At 42.5% G+C, this 22,213-nt stretch overlaps 1 protein-coding gene across 2 annotated transcripts; it reads right to left on the bottom strand.

Annotated features, from left to right (window-relative positions):
• TNFSF15 (TNF superfamily member 15) lies at positions 246-21,650 on the bottom strand. Of its 2 annotated transcripts, NM_005118.4 has the most exons (4): positions 21,414-21,650; positions 9,137-9,179; positions 8,018-8,065; positions 263-6,517 (listed from the first exon to the last, which is right to left on the bottom strand). In NM_005118.4, exons 1-4 carry the CDS (start codon positions 21,621-21,623, stop codon positions 6,063-6,065), a joined length of 756 nt encoding a protein of 251 aa, NP_005109.2. In that variant the 5' UTR covers positions 21,624-21,650; the 3' UTR covers positions 263-6,062. The 2 variants fall into 2 exon arrangements, with proteins under 2 accessions (NP_001191273.1, NP_005109.2); NM_001204344.1 differs by lacking the exons at positions 9,137-9,179; positions 21,414-21,650 and having other exon boundaries at positions 246-6,517; positions 8,018-8,141.

Raw genomic sequence — 22,213 nt, forward strand, 5'->3', positions numbered from 1 at the left:
GGAACCCTGTAGATTCTCTCCTTCCCTCCCTTTCCCTCATCTGACTAGAATGACACCATCTGTGGTGTTCAGTTTAAGGTTTATTATAATCTCAAGGTTTTAAGGTTTATTATAACTATGAAAGCCAGTTGCCATTTTGCAGCCAAGTACATGGAGAATTAGAAGCATTTAAAAAAAAAATCCCAAGAGGTTACCCTTAGACTTAATCTAGAAAGAAAAACAAAGGAACACATTAACAAAAGAACTGACAGTGTGAAAATTCTTCAGTCTTCAATGCCAGTTTATTAAGTTACATCTATTAAATATATTAACACATACAACATTTCATTTACAGAGATTAGAATTCATACACTAGTACCCAAAGACATGGGATGCATACCAGTTAAGTACGTATCCAACAACATACAATATGCATTTTACCTTGCGGTTGATGTTTTAACATAAAACATAAAATCAATGAAAGCACATGGGGTTTGTCACTAAAACCACATAAACACCTACACTTCTTCAATCTGTACACCCCTGAAACAAAAAAAGGGGAACATTACATGCTTTAATGACTTTAAGAATAAAATCATTTGATGAAGTTCAGCTACTTTATTTACTTGGCACTGTGTGTCTTGTTCCTCCTGAATGTATACACTGTGAGAGTAGGACTTGCCTGTCGCATTCCTTCTCAGCTCTCCAGTATCCAGGCAAGTGCTGCCACGTGACAGATGCTCAAAACAAAAATGATTTACGAATGAAGTTGAAAGACTGCTGGGCTTATTGTTAAGATATCTAAATTCTACTTTTAGCATCCAACTAGCTACTGTCTGGCACTGGCCACGAAGGGTGACAGGGTGTGGATGTGATGGCTCCCTCTGAGCCTGGGTTTCTTCATCTTTGAAATGATATAACTTGGAATAAACTCCGCAGATACTGTCATTTCTAAAATTCCATGACATTTCTCTATTGGCCAAGATCTTAGGGGTATTTTGTGTTGGACACTCTCTGGACAAATGGGAAATGACAGCTAATTACTGAACCCTTGAGAAGGCCTGCCAGGTTTGTAATGATCAACTAGAACACATGGAAGTCAATGAACAAAAGGCCACATAATTATAGATTTGAAAAAGACCTCAGAGATCCTTTGGCTTAATCTCTCCCCCAACCTCTGTGAAGAATAGCTTCTACAAAAACCCTTGTGACAAGCCCTTTGTTTGAGTATCTCCAGGGACTGAGAAATAGCATCCTAGAAAAATTCTATTTTGGAGTAGAAAATTCCTTTGGGGATCAAGCCAGAGAGGGCAACCTTGTAACTGCAACTCTGTAGCCCTAGCTCTCTTCTCTGGGGAGCTACAGTAGAAGTCTCCTCCCACTTCCATGTTGTCCTACAGGTGTTTGAAAATACTTGTCCCATCTTCCTTCAAATCACTAAAATGAACTCTATTTGCGATGAGTAGAGAGGTTAGAAGAGTCCAGGATTATGGTTCAGGAAGACAGCTTCCTAGCTCTAGATCAGCCCTTAACTCACTATGTGGCCCTGGGCAAGTAACTTCTTCCTTCCAGGCTGGTGTGGTATTTTCATCTTAAAATGGGGTGATGGAAGGGGTGGAGGCAAGTGTGTCTCAGAGCTGGGGAAGTTGTAAATGTGGTTGTTAGAGGGTGACGGGGCATGGAGGTGATGGCTCTGATCCACATTCTCTCACCACTGGTGCAAAAGGATTCAAGGCTTATTAGGTTAACAGTCTACTAAATTCTCTGTAGGTCCAGCTGCCAATATGATGCAAAAATGTTAATATCCAGGATAAGGATGTACACTTGAAAATTCTGCTACAAATATCAAAACACTTCTAGGACTCTGGGCCATAGGAAAGCCAGAAATCTTAAGGCAAGAGATGTTTGCATGTGTTTTTAAGGTACAGAATATAAACAGTTCTGTCTTGCAGAATTAATCCCCAATGTCACAATCATGGAAACAGAATTGGGTAAGGGCTTGGGAAAATACCTTGCAAGAGAATGTTGGCAATGGCCGTGCCTTGTGCACAGTGAGTTAGTTAAACTTTTATAATCCAGGGGGATTACTGACCAGCACAGAGGCGGAATTTCCTCTGGGGTGATGAGAACTGAATAGTTTAGGTTGAAATGGAGCCAAGAGTTCTGGTGTGCTCTATTATTGATTCAACCTGACATATTTCAGGAAGTGAAAACGTACACTTTTCCCTTTTCTTACTGTACCTTAGTAAAAAAAAAATCAGAGTCCGGGCACAGTGGCTCACGCCTGTAATCCCAGCACTTTGGAAGGCTGAGGCGGGCGGATCACGAGGTCAGGAGATCGAGACCATCCTGGCTAACACGGTGAAACCCCGTCTCTACTAAAAATGCAAAAAATTAGCCGGGCATGGTGGTGGGAGCCTGTAGTCCCAGCTACTCGGGAGGCTGAAGCAGGAGAATGGCGTGAACCTGGGAGGCAGAGGTTGCAGTGAACTGAGATCCTGCCACTGCACTTCAGCCTGGGTGACAAAGCAAGACTCTGTCTCAAAAAAAAAAAAAAAAAAAAAGAAAAAGAAATTTTAGTAGCATAATCAATTCTGTTCTGCCAAATAGACTGAAACCATGCTAGCATCAAAATGTTAGTGATTCTGTGCATTTTGATCATGGTCTCTGTATTTGCTGAGGAACACAGATTTTCAAAGCATTTCTGGGTCATCCATAAAATTCTAATATTTTTAAGGGTATTGATGACCAAACTTGAATATAGCAAATAATAACCTGTCTCTACATGTAGTTTAAATAATGGATTCTACAATAAAAAATGGGAACTTTTTTACCTTCTTGATTTATGGAAAACTATCCTTGAGTAGCTATTTTTAAAAAAACACTTCGAGTAAACACAAATCATTTTGTTAGTCATCAGCCTTAATCAAATGGCATCCATTTTCATAATGAGAATAGATCCATGTGCCTAAAGTTTACGAATTAATTAGCTAATACAACCAAAATAAATTAAAGAATCTGCAGACAGTAGAGGTGCTGGGAAGTTAGAATGAGTGTGTCTGAGACTAAATAATTTATCTCTGTGTCCCCAGGGGCAGTAGGTACTCAGTAAATGTTTGTGGAATTGATTTGAATTCAGCCTTTTGAGTGACATTTAACCAACAAAGCATTTTCTCCCTAAATTTACTGTTTTCTAAAGCATGCTTCTTCCTCCCTCCCAAACCCTGAATACACCCCATTAACCCCTTTTAGGGGAACATCACATGATCTTAAAAGCATTTTCCCACCTCACTTTTGAAAACAGTGCACTAATTTTTGCTATGGAGATAATGCCTTGGGAACAGAAGTTCTGACATGAGCCCTATTAGGAATGTCTGACTGTGCCTTTCCGTAAAAAATATACTATACAGAATTTAACAAAATCAGCAGTAAAAACTTGAGCTATGATACATTCTTTAAAAAACAAGCTTATGACAGGAGCCAAATAAATGCACAGCAGAGAATTTCCCAAAGCCTCAAATGTCTTCGAATATTAGGAAATTCCTGTCTTGGGATAAATTTCCAGATCCACCAGATCACCTACAGAACAGTGGGCAGGTTTGAGCAGGCCACTCTTCTGTGCAAAACTCCTCCTGCATACCAAAGCTGCTTGGTGCTCTCACGCACCATGAAGACCGGTTCAGAAAGAACATTTTATGTTTTTAATGGGTGTTAGTTCTGATCATGGAGCTAGACTAGAGTTATTGAGGAAACATTCTTGATCTACCAATAAATATTGTCCTAGGAATTGGTTGAGGGAATATTCTCCTATCAAGCAAGTTTTGGAGTTACTGAGAAATCTTTCTTTTCTGCTTTAAGTCAAGGGTAATTCCTCCATCTGAGATGCCCTTTCCCTGTGGTCATCTGGGGCCCGCCCAGTTTCTTCCAGGCTTCACTTCCTCTATGAAGACTCTGGTGAGCCAGGTGGAGGTGACCACACTCCTCTGTGCTCCCACTGAGTCTGTGCTGACTGTTTTGAGAAAGGGAAGGCAAGAAAAAGGCCTGGCTTAAGTTAGCCTAGCAGAGGTTAGAAAATATATTTAGAGCCTTAACCTCCAAACTGAGAAATCAGAAATTAATTTTTATTTAATTATAACTCAATAAATATTAATGAAGTGCTCCTGCTACACTGGACACTTTGCTCAGGAGCCTCTCAAATGCCTCTCTGCCTCTATAGTCTACTGGAAACCAGAGTGAGAGTGATTTTGGTGCCAAATTTCCTCTCAGACTCATCCATGAGGTCTCCCAGGATAGGAAGCATTTATAATACGGGCCAAGGGTCACCAGTCATATAATACCGAAATGCTCAGATGGCACAGAATGCATGAAGTTAACATCTTTCATTCTCATGAGCTCATTTGCTCCTTGGAAACAAATGGGCAGATTCCTGCTTTGCAGACAAGTCAACAAAGGCTAGGAGAACAGAGCTGCCTCTCCTGCCCTTGACATATTAGCGTAGGAAAATCATACGGACTAGAGGATATGAACCCACTGAAGCACAGAAGGGACCTCCGCAATGACCAGCCTGTCCTCCAGGGAAGGTCTTGGCTAGGCTCATTAGCTAATCCCATATGTAAATCCCTTTGAATATTTTAAGGGAAAATACCCACATAATACTCTGCATATAAAGTTGCAAATCAAACCTCAAAGATCTAGGTTAACTTCTTCAGATTTGGTGATTGACTTCTTTTTTCCCTTCCCCCATGGAATAAGTCCATTGTCTCTCAGCATCAAACAAGTTGGCAGTGTAGTTGATCTAGTTAACCAGGTATCTGTCTTCAGGTTTCTTCAGGGAACTAATCAGCTGGCTATCTTCCAGTCAGCTGGCTATCTTCCACAGTCAGTAGAGTGCCAGAAATCTGATGTAACAGTTTCAGATGATATTTTTTAAAGGCTTGGAGTTATTATTTTATTTTTTTTTTTTTGGACAGAGTTTTGCTCTTGTTACCCAGGCTGGAGTGCAATGGCGCGATCTGGGCTCACCGCAACCTCTGCCTCCCCAGTTCAAGCAATTCTTCTGCCTCGGCCTCCTGAGTAGCCAGGATTACAGCCATGCGCTACCACGCCCGGCTAATTTTGTATTTTTAGTAGAGATGGGGTTTCTCCACGTTGGTCAGGCTGGTCTTGAACTCCCGGCCTTAGATGATCCACCCACCTTGGCCTCCCAAAGTGTTGGGATTACAGGTGTGAGCCACTGCGCCTGGCCAAGACTTGGAGTTATTCTTTAGAGTATGTTGACTGATGTTTGATCAGGAAGTATCTAGTGGTGTTCATATAAATTTTGAGTGGAGTCTGTCTTGTTTTTCATAGTGTCTTCTGGGTTAAGGTAGAACCCAGCACAAAATAGGTGGGCAAGAAAACTCTACTGAATACAAGCAACTGTTGTATTTTTGATATACATGTGAAACTCATACTTCCTTATTTAGATATCTGTGTACATAATCAAAAGAAAGGTAGCTTTTCTCATATGCTGTAGATGACATGAAAACCAACTCCTTCTGTGTGAACATTCATGAGACATACCAACTCTCTTTTCATTTTTTTTAGGCAAGGCATGAAAGTATGTGGAAAAATTGGTGAAGGATTTTGCCTCTGAAAGTTTATACTGTTTTCTAGAGCTTTCCTTGGACTTCCTTCAAAGCTCCTGAATTGAAGCAAATTTATGATCAAATTGAACAATAACTGGACCACTGGTGACCATTGTATAGCAGGAAGGTGTTGAAATATTTCTCTTTCAATCCTGACCCGAGTAGATCATCCATTCATTTAGTGATCAGTGTCTTAATATTTAGAAACTCGCCAATCCTCCAACCCATCTTAATAATATATTTGCTCTCTTCAGCCTTTTTCCAGTTAGTACTCTCATCAGTAAGGCACATGAAGTGTGAAATTTTGGGCCCCAAATTTCATAGCTAAACCGTTGTCCCTGTGGAATGCCCCCTACTCCCGGCCCCAAGAAAACCCCTGGTTATAATTACATTTGAACAAAGAAAATTAGGAACTCGGTGGCAGAGGACTTTCATATAATGATATTTGCTCTCCTCCTATAGTAAGAAGGCTCCAAAGAAGGTTTTATCTTCTTTTGTGTAATCCACCAAAGAGATGTCACTGACGTTCACCATTAGCTTGTCCCCTTCTTGCAAGGAGAACATGGCTCCGAGGTAGATGGGCTGGAACCAGTTGCTACCTACTTCGCATACAGACTTGGTCCCCATGAGGAGCTGGGTTGGCTCAGGGTAGCTGTCTGTTACCTTGGTGATGACCACAGTGATGGAGTCTGGCTTGTTTGGTCGGCCTGCTTGTCTGATTTCACTGCACTCAGAGGTCATCCCACGGAATGTGACCTGGGAGTAAATGAAGTAGTCTCCCGACTCTGGGATCAGCAGGAATTTGTTGGTATAGTTCATTCGGTTCTTGGTGAAGGCCAGGCCTAGTTCATGTTCCCAGTGCAGAGCTGGGAACTGATTTTTAAAGTGCTGTGTGGGAGTTTGTCTCACAACTGGAAAGACAAGAAAGAGGATTAATTTTCTCATTGGGAAACTGTAGACTTTGCTTAAAAAGTGTCTCATATCATTTTCAAAATAGACTAAAGTGATCGAATATACCTAACAGCTAAAAACTGCTTTGGGGAGGAATGAATGAAGAATATGTGACTGGACATACACATTTGTTCAAAGAGAATAACATCTTGGACTAGTGACCTGGGGCAAATTACTTTGCCTTTCTGAGACTGAGTGGTCTGACCTGAAAATTTTTAATTTTACCTGAGACCTATGATCCTGGAGAACAATGAAGGTTAAGGAATCCCCCTATTCTTCTGTGTTTAGGAAAATGGCTTGCTGCAAGAATTATCCTTTCCCAAATGACTCAGATAAAACTCATCGATGCCTCTCTTGTTTACGTATGACAAGGCCAGGCACCAGACCCTTCAAATTCCCATTCTTTGCCCCATAAGTGATTGGCTGAACTGTTTTATCCCCATTCATCAATTGGAACAAAACACTTGTCTTACAGGCATGAGGTAAGTGATAGAAACTTGGCATCTCCCTGGTCCTAATCCTCACTCAGAGCTCACCACAAATAATTTCCTCTTAGTCAAATGATAACACCAATGTCTTGGGCCACAAGGATATCCCCCTGCAGACTGAAAATTTTCTTATAGGTCAGGAGGGTATGCTTCCTTTTTAACCTTCTAGGTTTTCAGTGGGTTCTAACATATCCTTCTGCACTGTCTTGTTCTTTCCTCTGGAGTCTCAGAGGTATAGGAACTCTAGGTGTGAGGTGCCTTGGATTTCTGCACTAGACTTGGAAAGTTGGCCAACTGGTGATAGTATGGAATTTCTCTTGATTTGGTGATAGTATGGAATTTCTCTTGATTTCTATATATCGATGAAAATTCTTTGGAAACACCTCCCTGAAGGTAAATGTTTAGTTACATCATCTTGAACAGGGCACAGATGAACTAGATAAATTGGCAACTCTGGGGACTTTTTGTTTGTGACCAGATCCAGAATTACTTGCAGCTCCGAGTTGGAGAGAAGCCATTTCTGAATGACTCAGTGTATGAATGAAAGAGAGAGACAGGAGAGAAAGAGAGAGGGCTGATAGAATCTGAAAGAAAATGCCCAAGAGACATGGGCCTTTGGAACCCCCCCACAGGGAAGAAGACATCCAAAAAACCCTCCATGAGATACCTGCACTCACATGCTTATTGCAGCACTATTCACAATCGCAAAAATATGGAATCAACTTAAGTGTTCATCAACAGATGAATAGATAAGGAAAACGTGTGTGTGTGTGTATATACATATGTGTGTACACACACACACACACACACACACACACACACACACACACACTGGAATATTGAGGGGAGGAGTCTCTTACCAAGGAATGTAGTTTTCATTTTAAGCCACTAGAATGAATTTTGGTAAAGTGCTGAAAGAAATCTCAGGATTCTGGCCCATGGTCTCCCGTAAAACACAGCAGGGAGGCTTACCTGTCAGGTGTGCCCTTGGCTTATCTCCGTCTGCTCTAAGAGGTGCATCTGTAACAAAAGGAGAAATGTGCTTTGTATGAGACAAAGGGTGACTGAAATGAAGACGGCCCTTTGTGAGTTGCATGGCGCCTATGATAGGAGAGAAACCTTGATCTCCTCCAGCTTGGTCCAGTGCCACTCCTTGCAGGATTTTGGATTGGAATGTGGCACCCGCAGCAAGCACCACCAAGGACAGGGTGACTCAGAAGAAAGAGTCTTGAACACAAATGAATCTTGGCCCCATGGCTTTGGGCAAGTTTATCTAGCCTGCCTGAGACCCTGTTTTCTCATCTCATCTAAGATGGGCACAGTATAGATGGAGGTGCTTAGCATGAATTTTGCACATGGCCAATGCTCAATAAAGCACAACTCACTGCTCTTTCCCACAAAATTCTTTCACAGGAGTGAATTGGCTTTTTGCCTTCTTCCATGGTCCCTTTAACTATATTCACTGAATAGATGGCCCAAAAGAAATGGGATGAAGAGTGGATGGGAACTATTCTTTAGCTATATGACTTTGGTGAATCCTTTTCCCTCTCTGGGCCTCTGTTTGTCTATTAGTTCTTGAGAAGACCTTAGAATTTCCCTTTGGTTCTCAGAAATATTATGTTGGATTAGGCATGGTCTAATTACAGTTATAAATATGGTGGTGTTGATGATAATAAAAAGCAAAAATGAAGTGCATACTTTTGATGTGCTAGACATTGTTCTAACTCCTTTATAGGAATTAACTGATTTAATTCACATTAACCCTTTTGAGTAGGATCTACTATAACCATTTTTACAGGTGAATAAATGCAGGCAGAGACAGGTGAGATTATTTGCCCAAAGGTCACACTGCTAGTAGATTCCGGAGTTGGGGTTTGAGTTCAGGCCATCAGCTCCACAGGCCATGCACTTTGACATGGTGCCATTTTGCCTTCTTAGTGCCTGCAGCAGAGCCTCATTTCTCCTCTGGATTTGCATCCCTCAGCTTAGCAACTTGTACTTAAAGACTCATCTCTGAACTTCCTGCATACAGAACTACTAGAAATGTTCTTATTCCCCACGAGGAAAGGCGTTGAAGATGAGCATACTTACAAACTTGCTGATGTGAAGGTGCAAACTCCTGTCCTTTTAGAGCCTATTGGGAAAGAAAGTATAGTTTAGACCAACTGTGGTCCTTTTGATCCCAACACTTACAGCTTCCCATAGCACAGGTATGATTACAAAGCTTCTGCTGCCCAGCCTGGGTACTCTGTGATGAGGGAAATGAGAATGAAAATATTTTTGTTGATGGGAATCTTGCATCTCAGCTCTCCACTTTCCTCCCCTGACACTTCCAATGACCTTCCTCTTTCTTAGGCTTGTCTCTGAAGCTCAACTTTAAGGTTCTTTTCTTGAGAGATTTTCTCGTTCTATTCTAGGGGAACTCAGCATCTTGTCTATGCTTTTGTTATTTGAACAAATAATGGCACTTGCTTTATTTTCTTTCCTCTACCATAATTTAAAAATTGGGACTCTTCTTAAAAACGACACAGAAGAGAAAATAATGGCTATGTTCTCCTTTTCATCAGCCTCAACAATTCTTCCTTGTTTCTGTGCAATACATAAAGACTTTTTAAATAATTGCAACCCTAGTTTGTGAGCTATTTCAGATACCACATGATGGTGGAAGAGTAACTGCCTTAGAGGCAGACAGATCTGAATTTAAATCCTTGTTCCACCATTTATTAACAATATGACCTTGACAAGACTTTTTCTCTCTGAGCTTTGGTGTCTTTATTTCTAAAGTGGGAATAATAACATACTTAGCCCTAAATTACTCATAGGATTGAGGTGAAGAGCAAATCAGAAAATCTATGAGTTAGTGCAAAGAATGCATGGAAAATGAAGGAACCATCACTCACATACCTGAGCATAAAGCTTAATAGCAAAAGTATGCTCTTAGCTTACAAATAATATCATGCATTGGACTATTATACATGGTTGGTGGGAATATAAATTAGTACAGCCACTATGGAAAATAGCATGGATATTTCTCAAAAAACTAAAAATAGAACTACCATACAGTCTAGCAATCTCACTACTGGGCACGTATTCAAAAGAAAAGAAATGAATATATCAAAGGGATACTTGCGCTCACATGCTTATTGAAAGACTATTCACAATAGTAGAGATATGGAATCAATCTGATCCATATCTCTATCAAGATATAGATGGAAGGATAAAGAAAAGGTGGTACCTATAAACAATGGAATACTATTTGGCATAAAAAATGAAATCACGTTATTTGCAGCAACATGGATAGAACTGGAGGTCATTATGTTAAGTGAAATAAACCAGACACACAAAGACACACTTTGCATGTTCTCATTGATATGTGGGAGCTAAAAGAGTCGGTCTCATGCGAGTAAAGAGTAGAATGACAGACACTAGGGGCTGGGAAAGGTGTGTGAGTGGGAGAGGATGGGGATGAAGTGAGGTTAGACAATGGGTACAAACGTACAGTTGGATAGAAAGTTTAAGTTCTAATGTTTGGTAGCAGAGTATGGTGACTATATTTAGGAACTATATATTATACTGTACATTACAAAGTAGCTAGAAGAGAAAACTTGAAATGTTCCCAACACATAGAAATGATAAATACTCAAAGTGATGGATACCCCAAATACCCTGACTTGATCATTACACATTTTATGTATGTAGCAAAATATCACATGTACCCCACACGTATATAAAATATTATGTATCAATAAAAAATAAAAATAAAACAAAATTTATGATATTAAAAAAAGCCTTCTCTAATATGATTTCGACTCAACCCAATCTTCTGATTTGGTTCTTGTTGCTACACAGTCTCCTCTAATAGAGTGATCCTCTTATTATATGAACACTTGATCTATTTTACATCTCAAAATGTGTGTGTTGTGAGTGTATAGTCAGGTTCTATGATTTCCATATCTGCAGATTCAACCAACTGTGGATCAAAAATATTTGAAGAAAATTACAACCATGAAAATAATGCAAATAACAAACAATATAGCATAGCAACAATTTACACTGTATTAGGTATCATAAGCATTTACATGTATTAGCATTTACACTGTATTAGGTATCACAAGCAATCTATGGATGATTTAAAGTATATAGGAGGATGTGACTAGGTTATGTGCAAATACTATGCCATTTTATATCAAGGACTTCAGCATCTGCAGATTTTGGTGTCCATGGGGGTCTTGAAATCAATCCCTGTGGATACCGAGGGAGGACTGTCTCATGAATGAGGAATTGTGTGTCTGTGTGAGTGTGAGAGAATACAGCTCCATCAGTGGGGAGACTAAATTGACGTGTTTTAGCATCTGTACACGTGTCTGTGATGTGGCGTCATATGTATGGATGTCTTGCCATCTGCCTGCGTAGTCATGTGGATGTAATTGTGTCATTGCTGAGTCTAGGTCTGTGAGCAGGTGTGTGATGTCAGTGATTTTGTTAGAGCCGGGACCTCCAGCCTTTTTTCACTCCCAGGTCATGCTACCTAACCTCTACTAGAAGCCCCTTGAGGGCAGAAATCTTGTCTTTGAATGACTAACTGACTTTACAGTCTGTCCAGCCCCTTTCCATCCACTTCTCAATTCTGTTAAAGCCACCATTACTGCTTTCTCTCGATTACCAGACCTGAAATTTTCTTTTTTTCTTCTTCTGCAAAACCAAGGGCTGTCATTTCTATTTTGCAATTTTCTCATGGTGTTTCAATTCCAGGCCTTGGCATGCTGCTCTCCTGGATTCTTTCATCAGCCCCTGGCAGGGTCTTTGTACTTCAGTTTTCTCCTTTTCCTTGATCTATTTCCTGGCCTGCCTTCAGAGGGCTTTTTCTAAAGCATCACTTTATCTAGATACTACACTGCTTATAAACCTTCAATGGCTCCTCATGGCTCTTAAGACCCAGTCCAATCTCATTTTGTCTTGGCATTCAAAGTCCTAACTTATCCCAGTCTCGCTATCCATTATTTACTTCTCTCTAAGCCCTCTGTGTTCCCAGCCATGAGAGGCAACCACTGTGAATTGATTCAAGGTATCTGAAGAAACAGAGTTAAGTGTAGTTACTTTATTGAATTAGTAGGGACACAGAGACCTGGCCCAGAAATGGGAGAATCAGAAGAAATTGCTCCTGAACAGAGTCTTAGAGGTCCTGCAGGTACTAGCCAGGTGATAAAAGAGGTAATGACTATTCCAGACAAGGCCAACAGCTTGCACAACAGCAAATACCTCAATACCCTGCATCTGTGATGTGGTGTCGTATGTATGGATACGACATGTAAGGAGGCTCAACAGGACATGGGAGTAGTTGGAAAACATCAAGGCTTTCTGCTGGGAAATGAATACATTATGTGCATTTGGCACAGAGTCATGAGTACAGCAGTTTTTGAAAACCTAAACCCAATTTCTGTGATCACCTATCCAGAATCAATAACTTGGATGGTCTTGAGGGAGTGGAGAAGCAGCCCAGAAATGAACTTATTCTGTAGTCTATTGCCTTCCTTGATATTGACAGAGCTGAAGGAATTGATCCTTTGGCAAGGCAGAAAACTGAAGGTGGAGTTCTCAAAGAGAATCAGAGAGATCTTGATTGCATCCTCTGGTGTAGGAAAGGTACCTGCCCTGGTTGGCCTCTTTTGATTTATTTAATTATCTGCTGAGAAATTTTGAACATCCTGCTTGTCTTTGGCTAAGATGACATTCAGCTAAGAGTTTACAACATTCCTCTTTGACTCAGAATCCCATTGTCATTAGCATGTATCTGAGCTGTGGACACATTTCCCTGTTTGCTCTGCTGGACTTCTGTAACTTGGGCACACATTTTATTTTCATATATGGATGGATAAGTATGGTCCAGTGTGCCACTAAACATCTGGAGGTGGTGACCAAGCCTGTTGGCAGATATTGAAGACTACAACATTCCAAGAGTCCGCAAGAAGGACGTCATTTGAGACTCTTTCTCCAAGAACAACATCTAAACCTTCCATTGCTGCTTCTCTTAATAACAACTCTGTCTATCACAGGAGGAAAATTATTGTGATAGGAAGCAGTAATGAATGAGGAAGAAATTTGAGAGGATGGAATAATAGCTTATTTGAGAAAAGGTTTATGCATTACAGCTGTCCTAATGCCTGCTCTCAGGATGGTTCCTGGGAACACCAGGCCAATGCAATGTCTTCTGTGTTCCAGCCCTGACTCATCTCCATCACTTCTTGTTATTCTGGGGGCACCGAAGAGGTGTTGGCTCCTAAGAGGTGCTGGTCATGGCAACATTAGCCTCCAATTGAATAGACATGGTGTCTGATAATGAGATTATTCCTACATACATATCTTTTCAAACCACTGGCTGAAATCCAGGATCGAATTTTATTATTTATTTGTGTGCTTATGACTTTTCTCGCTCTGAAAATTCAACCTGCCTACAGGTGGGGACCTATATTCCTAGTGCCTCAGTCAGTGCCTGGCACTTTTGCCAGATTATCCAACTGGCAAAATGCACAGATTCTCAGGCATCAGGAAGACAGAGGCAGACAAAGAGAGTCAGAGAGGGGGTGAGGATGCAGTGACTTCAGCCAGAGTTTTATAATCCAAAAATCTAGGAAAGACAACTTTTTGTTCCTATTAAAAATGTTTGTCATTTAGTACGAGGGCCTCTAAAGGTCTTCATCAGGCTCTGTGTGGAGCATAGCTGTGGCTCTAGAAAGATTTGTTGTAAGTGGCAAGGCTTAGCCAGGAGCCAGAGTCAGAAAAGCAAATGTGTATGTCCATAAGCATGCATCTTAGAGGGAGATGGGATGCTTGCTCCCACCAGCATATGTTAGCCCTAGCAAAAAACAGCTGGTGCTTCTCTTCCCCTACCCTCCTTAGTTCTTGTAGGTCAGGGAATTTTTCCTCTCATTTGATTTTTGTTTTTTTTTTTGTATGTTGACTGGTAATCCCTGACTCAAACTAACCATGGTCTGTTACTATAGGTATTTTTGGAATTACTTTAATTATTTAAATTGGGCAGAAGAAAGCATAAAGAGGAGATTGAAGTTTAGTGGAATGCTCCCCAGGTGCCAGGTCCTGTATTGGGCATTTATGTGTTTGCCTCATCTAATACTCCAGCTACTTTTAAAGGAGGGGTCAGCATCACCTTTTCATGGCTTAGAATGGCACGAAAAGAGGTCAAGCAACTGTCCAAGGTCAAAGAGTGCATGGAGGGCTTGGGATCTGAACCTTTAGACCAAGTACAGACCCTGGCACATATTGGGAGCTTCATAAACATCAGCTCAGTGTACAATAGATGAACAAGCCTGAAGCAAGATAATCTTTGAGATTTCCTGGCATTTCCCCAGAAAAATCCCCTAAGTATATTTTAATTAATGATCCACATAGCCTTTCCTCTCATGTACTATAGTCACTCTCTATCTCTATTCATAAACAGGGAGAGATATTCATCTCTTGCTGTCATAAATGCTGTAATTGCAAAGGCATAAATGTTTTATGATCCAAAACATCCTCCCAGCACTTCCAGGAGAAATATGCAGATGTTTGCCTCTTTGTCTCTTCCTTCTGCTTCTGCCTGTTTATACTTGCCCAAGGATAACGCCAACCTGGAAATGTTTTATTCTGAGGTCATTTCATTTCATCATCCTCCAAGGTGCCCTGGATAGGGCTTTATGTGCAACATTCAGCACAGTACAAAGCAAAGATGCTGGTGTTTGCAGGTGAGCAAATTTGGAAATCCCAGCTCCATTATTTCCTGGTGCTCTGATTGTGGCATGTCACTTGACCTCAATGGAACTGTTTCCTCGTCAATAAAAGCAGACAATAATTCTTACCTCCCAGGTCTATTGTGATGGCTCAGAAAGGCCACATATATAAGGTTCATTTTCCTCATTTCTTTGGGCTCAATATATGATTGTAGGCTGTATTGTTGGTTCTGCACATCCTCTTTTTGGTCTTAGGACTTCAGTTGTACACAGAAGCCACCCTTGTATCTTTTTATCACAAGGAGTAGATTTGGATGCTTTAGGAGCTCCGGGAGGCATCTGCTTTTCCCCAAGGACAGACATTCACTAGGCTTCCTCAGGCTTTTGAACTTCTGCCCTTTCAGAGTGCAAATAGATTGAGGGAATGGAATTTACGCCCCACCCACTTCACATCCCCAGCTTGTTGCTGCTGTCAGCTACAAGGAGGGGTCAGGCTGGGAGATGACCTCTTGTAGCCAGTGTGTGGTCTGCAGTGTATGCTCCATTGGGTGCGGATGCAGGAGCTCTCCAAGCTGGCCTGGCACTCAGCGATATGTTCACTTTACCTGGTGGTTGAGTGGATTCTGCCGTTACCAGCTGCAAGCTGCCTGGATGTCTGAGATTCACAGCCAGGCTTGCTTGCCCTTCCTGCCTCTGCACTTCCTCAGTGCACCTTCACTGCCTCTGGTTTCCCTTCCCTTTGCCCACAACCTGATCTTTGGAGTGAATATCTTCCAGGTATGCTGGTGCTTCCTGAGGTTATAGCAAGGGCATCTTCACTGAGGGATAAGGGGTCTGCAATTTACAAAGTACTTTTATCTCAACTATCTGTTTTTCTCTAGATAGCACTGAAAGAGATTATCATGATCCCTAATCCTTCGGAAAGAGGAAACAACTTGAGTGAGATAAGAGGGCTCATCCCAGGTGGAGTGGGGAGGGGGAGGGGGAGGGAATCATGTCTGCTGAGCATCTATTCTATGGCAGCAGCTTTCTGGACATTTTGCAGAATTCTCACCATAGTGCTATATAGAAAGCGTATTAATCTCCTCATTTTATAGACAGTGAGTCTATGGCCCAGGGAGATCTAGTACATTTCCCACCCCTCCAACCCTCCCTCCATCCAGAAAACACTTAGTGAGTGCCTTCTGTGTGCCAGGTACAGATAGGTGCCCTCAGGGGAGGAAGAGGACTGGCATTTATTGAGCACTTACTATGGGGTAGGTGCTTTTCATAGTTAAATCCTCCTGCCTATCCCAGGAGGTGAATACTTGGTTGGACTTATTCCCAAAGGCAGACAACATAGTGATTAGGAGAAATATATACAGTGGATTTAAATCCGTGTCACAGTCTTTAACTGTGTGACTGGGCACATTGTTTAGCCTTTCCAAACCTCAGCTTCATCATCTCTAAAATGTGGATAATAATAGTAGTTTCCTCATTGTGTGATTTCCATTATTAACTGAGGTGATGCATGTAGTAATGATAGCAAACAAGTATTGCACATGTTTACCTACCAGGTACCATGCTAGATGCTTTATAGGTGTGATCTCATGTACTTGTCTCAAAACCTTTAATATGAAAATATTTAGTGTGGTTTCTGCTATATAATAAGTTATTAAGAGGTCGCAGCTGTGATGCGGTGGAGCCATGGCTTTTCCTCAAGTCTGTGTGACTCTGAAGCCCAAGCCATCACTACAAGACCCTATTGGTCTGATTGGAGACCAGGAGGCCTCAGCAGGGAAGAATGGTTCAGGAATAAAAGGCAGGAGCATTGTAGAGATTTTCAGGGAGGCATGAAGTGAGGTTGGAGGGAACCAAGGAGAATGTGGGGAGAGTGTGCAGATGATCCTGGAAGTAGAACTGAAAAGGGAAGGACAGGTTGGGCAGTGGTTAAACCCTGGGCAGGAATGCCTCCTACGGCATCCCTGAGGATTCGTTGTGAGGTACTGAGTGCCACTGCTGGGCTTGGGCTGAGTCACCTTGGTGCATTCTGCTTTGCCTGCACAGACTTTGTGTGCCAGAGCTGTGCCCAGAGAGGATGGAGGCCTGGTCTCAGGGCACCTGGGCCCAGAGTAAGGCCTGTGGACCCAATCTGAGGGCAGTGGAAGATACTGTAGGGCCCAAAGAATGCCCAGCCTACAGGGCTGTCAAGTGCAGCTGGGTAAAAAATGGATTGAGGAATTAGTGGGGGTTGGGAGGCAAGACCTGGTTGGGGAATGAAACACAGAGAGAGCTCATAAACATGGACCAAGAAAATCCCTCTAGTATCAACACCTACTCTCTGGCCAGGCGATGGCAAATTCCAGGGCAGGTGAAGAAGTTGTCTTCTATGATGTGATTTCCCTGAGCGGGGAAATTCCCTGGTCATAATAATAATAATTGTTAACATTTACTAATCCCTCACTCCTTGACAGACACTTCAAATACTTTATTTCTAATTATTCCCATTTTATACATAAAGAAGCCGAGGCCCGAAAGGGTTAGGTAACATGGTTAAGAAGTGTCTAGGCCAGAATTCAAGCTGGATTTTAACTTTCAACCCTAAACTCTTCCAAGATACGTCTGTCTAATATTCTGCAGAAATCTAAAGGACCTAACAGTTTTATTATTTCTATACTTTTTTGTATAGGTAGCATACACATTTTGTATGGAAGAGGCTAGGTTTATAAATGACTCCCTCCTTCCCTTGCTGACAAGCCACCCAGTTTTCTACCAGGATGCTAGCAGAATTACTACTTTCTTTTGTGCGCTTCCTGAGATATAACATGCATTTCCAAATATGTTCATATAGGTAAATATTTTCATAAAAGGAATGTACCACATTATATATGCTGTTAACGCACTTTGCTTTTTTTTCAGTTAACTTGTGTGCAATGGGTTGTATTTGCTTGGCTGCATAAGAGGGTGAGATATTTATCTTTGCCATCTCTTGGTAGATTGCCTGTGATGTGCATCACATTCTGGTTTAATGCTTATTCAACAATAAAACTGTTTTCTTTCTCTACTACCTTTGTGGAGAGGATTTCTAGATTGGGAGAAGACTTTGGTTTTTTTTGTTTTTGTTTTTGTTTTTGAGACGGAGTCTTGCTCTGTCACCCAGGCTGGAGTGAGCTGGCGTGATCTCAGCTCACTGCAACCTCCGCCTCCCGGGTTCAAGTGATTATCCTGACTCAGCCTCCTGAGTAGCTGGGACTACAGGCGCGCGCCACCACGCCCAGCTGATTTTTGTATTTTTAGTAGAGACAGGGTTTCACCATGTTAGCCAGGGTGGTCTCGATCTCCTGACCTCGTGATCCGCCTGCCTCAGCCTCCCAAAGTGCTGGGATTACAGGCATGAGCCACTGTGCCCGGCCAGATTTTGTTTTTAATTGTATTTCTGTAATGTAAGCATGCTGTGTTAGCTCTCTGATTCTTAATTCTCTCTTTGGAAAAATACAGGTAGCCTTACTCTCTGCTGGGCCAGTAGTTCTAGATGGGTGACTCTGTGGGTGGCATAAGATTTGCCATCTGAAGTTCTTCAATGGGAGAGGGGTGAGGCTCAGTAACTGGTATAGTTGTGGTAATAGTTTTCTCCATGGTATTACTGATCTCCTTCTTCCTTTGATCCATGGTGTGGCCACCTGGCACTTGGAACAGCACAAATATGGCTGCCTGAATGCACAGGGAAGGAGGCCAGATGGTCCAGTTTCAAATTGTGGCTCTGTCACCGACTAGAGGTATGGGATTGGGCAAATCTCTTCAATCCCCTGGGCCTCAGTGTCCCTATGTGCAAAACTAGGCACTTTAGGCTAGCTGACCTTCAAAGGCCTTGTTATCTCCAATGACCTGCGATCATCTGACTGGTTTTTACCCATAATGGTGTCTGTGATCTGGACCTCAGCCACAGCTTCTAGCCCAGGTGCCTTCCTTCCCTCCTCCAGAAAGCTTTTCCTGAACCACCCCTGTCTCTGTGGCTGGGCCGGGAGAGCATCTGAAATTCCATAGCACCTCTCTGTTGAAATAGCCTATTTCCTGAGGCCAACATCAAATTTTCTCTGTAGTTGCCTGGTGCCTGGGGTAGAGTGATGATCACGTCACAGCCACCATGTGCATGCGGCTCTCCCCACATTTCTAACATACACAATGCTCCTTCTGCACACGCCTTATTGGTGCTGTCAGAGTATTGATATTAATACCCCCTTCAGAGAAAAGGAAAAAGGCTCAAAGAAATGAAGCCACATGCCTATTTTCATAGCTGGAAGTGAGCCACATTTCACTGTATGTTTACCCAAGTTCTCCTTGGTGCCCTGGTTTTCCCTCCTTGAATCCAGTCTTTTCCCATCTCCTCTGAGCCATTTCTTCTCCATCAGTCCCTCCAGATCCTCTCTCAGCCCTTCCTGACCCTGCTCTGTCCTGTGAAGCTGACTCCTGGCTCAGTTGCCCCTGGACCTTTGAGCTCTGGCTTCCTCCTGAGCCTGGTCAATGGGATTGGATTGGAGGCAGGGTGGGGGATGGGGGAGCAGTCAGCATTCCCTCCTTCCTTCTGTGCTCTTGCTGCTGTTTTGGCAGTGACTGCCTTTCTCCCCAGAGCCCTTAGGTCTTCCAGGCAGGCCCTCTCCTAGGCTTTAGTTCTCTCTGGGTTTCTCTAACACTTCTCCCTCCATGTGCCCTTCATGCCAAGGCATGGTTGCTGGTTTCCCACTGTTGCTAGTGCTGGATGTTCCAGCCCTTTCAGTTCCCTTCAATCCGTCTGCATCTCAGCAAAGAGGCCCTTCTTTAAATCCCTTCAAACTCTTTAAATATTCTTCTACAAATGCACTTTCTTGAGTGAGCCAGCTGTTTCTTTTCAGGACCCTGATTGCTACATGAGCCCAGCCTCACCCCCATTTCCCTCTCCTTTTCTTCTGACACACTAAGAAGTTACAGAGCCTGGGCAAACCAGAGCTGCAATCATCCCCACACATCTGCTCTCCAGGAAGATGAATTTAATGATAATGGAATGGATGGTGTCAGCCTTATTCATTTCTTGAGCATCTGCAATTGGATAGGCACAGTGATAGATTCAGGTAGGGGCAGTAGCAGTGAGTAAAAAAGACCCCGTGCCTTCCTTCACCGAGCTTCCCGTCTAGTGACAGTGCATGTCTCCATCTCACCTTCTGGCTGGGCAAGTCATGGATCCTCCCTGGTCTGTAACATTCTGCTTGCTGGTCTTCTAGATAGACAAAGGCAGTCCTCGCCTTCTGCTGACCAAGGGCTCTCAGACATCATCTTGATCGTGGGAACCTGTCATGCCTCTGGGCTTCCTTCAGACCCCAGTGCAGGTTTCTGGAGGCCACTCAGTGTCTCATTCAAGGACAACTATCTCCTTCTGGCTAAAGAGGGACAGAGTCCCAGAGCACCAACTGGGCGCTGCAGTTTGACTTCCAGCAGAAACTGGCCCCTTGGTGGTCAAAGGGTCAAAGTCTGACTTCCCATGACCTGCGGTTCTTCTTTAACATAAACAGCATTTCCGGTTTGTCTGCATATTTCTACATTTTATGAGCAATGGCATCTGGCCATGAACGCTGCTGCCTGAATCACAGTCTGTTTGTTGACCCTGATGGGGCAGCGAGAATTACAGATTTTCCATGGCTTACTTGTGGTGTCTATGCTTTGAAACTGGCCAGGATTGCTTAGAGGCTAGGTTTCCAGTTAAACCCATTGAAAACCCATTTTTTTCCCTTTGCAATTTAATACTTTGAACTGAAATGAAATCAGCCACCATAGATTATGAAGGGACATTTTTAAAAAGGATATTACTGGAAAGACTCATTCCTTAGGTTTTGAGGTACATCTTTGTTGTTCCCAGCCAAGAATTATGTTTTCTTCTTGACACCTATCGCTGCCCCTACCATTGTTCTCCCTAGACTTCATATTCTTTTTCTGACTAGGCTTCTCCCAGGCCTCAGCAAGACCTTAGAGATAGACAACCAGGCAGGAGGTTCTTTCTTAAGCTCTAAAAAGAGAAAAAGTTCTAAACCCAAGAAAAAGAGTGGGTAAAGAAATTATAGCATCCACATATAGGAATGTGTATCTATAGCATCATGTTGTTGTGAATTCATTAGCATATAAATAAAATCATAATATATTAGCAGACTCAGAATAATCTCGTCTCATTAAAAAATCCGTTTTATATCTGGCATATAATTCTGTACAGAATTATATATCCCAAACTGTTAACAGTGGTCAGCTATAAGAGTTATGGGTAATGATGACTTTCTTCCTCTCCTTATCTGTATTTTCTAACTTTTTTCAATGACCGTGTTAGTTATGTAATTTTAAGTTTTTTTCTTAAATAAAAAGAATCTTCCCAAATTACCAGTATACTATGATTATAATTATCTAAAAAATATGAGGCTGAAGGTTATCCCCACAGTAAAAGAAGGGACTGTTCATTCCCTAGAAATATTGAGAATAAACACCAAATTGAACCTCTCCACCCCTCCCACTCTACATTTCCTCTGCATGTAGAAACAAGAAATGTGATACATCAAGAAACTCTATCCTCTGTCCAGAGCTGAAATAGTTGCCACTCACTGCAGAGAGTCCACTGCTCCTCCCCAAGGTCAGAGTGCCATGTGGCTTACCTGGAACTGCACACAGGCCTCTCCCTGGGCCCGGAGCTGGCTGACAAGCAGGTATGTGGTGAGTCCTGCAAGGAAGGGGAGCAACACCAGGCAGCAGGTGAGAGCCCAGCGTGCGCTGCTGCTCCTGGCCTTGGGCCTGCAGCTGCCGTGCTCTGGCAGCATTTCCACACTGGCTGTTTCCCCAAAGCTCAGTCCCAGATCCTCGGCCATGCTCCTGCTGCTCCTGGAGGCACCTCTGACTCCTGGGCAGAGAGAGCCCCCATTAAATAGAAGACCAGCTCTCACAGTGGGTGACTTAATCACTCAGTCTCCTCCTTCCCTTTTCCTCTCCCCTCCCCTCTTCAAGAGCACACTGTGGCCCTACCCTGCTAGAGAATGCACCGCCTACAACAGAAACCAAGTTTGGTTTGAGGAAAAAAAAAAAAAAAAAAAAAAGAAGAAGAAGGAGAAGAAGAAAGCTTTCCCAAGCATATTTATATACAGTATGCTCATGTGCTCCTTCCTTCGTTTACAGAAGGAAGTTAGGAAAGTCCCTGAAGGAGGAGAGAAAGAATTCATCAAGTCAGTGGGTGGGGCAAATTAAAATATACCTGTTCCCTGCACTGGAGGCTTACCAGCTGTGCCAGTCTGGGGAGTGTGCTTCTGGAAGTGAAAGTGAGGGATGAGAGGTGTGTGGTTTGCAGATTGGGAAACGGAAATCACATTTGCATCAGCTCTTTGCAAAGTGCTGCCTAGCCCTCTGTCATTTTGAACCTCATAGAAATTCATTCTCAGTGTACAGATGGGAATAGCAAAGTTCT

The sequence above is a fragment of the Homo sapiens genome, chromosome 9 (assembly GCF_000001405.40).
Source record: "Homo sapiens chromosome 9, GRCh38.p14 Primary Assembly".
In the NCBI taxonomy this organism is placed as follows: Eukaryota; Metazoa; Chordata; class Mammalia; order Primates; family Hominidae; genus Homo; species Homo sapiens.

What these genes read in the sequence shown, in the direction of transcription:
- TNFSF15 (NM_005118.4), bottom strand. Translation starts at nt 21,623, where the DNA reads ATGGCCGAGGATCTGGGACTGAGCTTTGGGGAAACAGCCAGTGTGGAA. An exon ending in ACCTTCACATCAGCAAGTTT is followed by an intron (nt 8,066 to 9,136) that starts GTAAGTATGCTC and finishes CTTTTGTTACAG; the next exon opens with ATGCACCTCTTAGAGCAGAC. An exon ending in GCCAAGGGCACACCTGACAG is followed by an intron (nt 6,518 to 8,017) that starts GTAAGCCTCCCT and finishes TTGTCTTTCCAG; the next exon opens with TTGTGAGACAAACTCCCACA.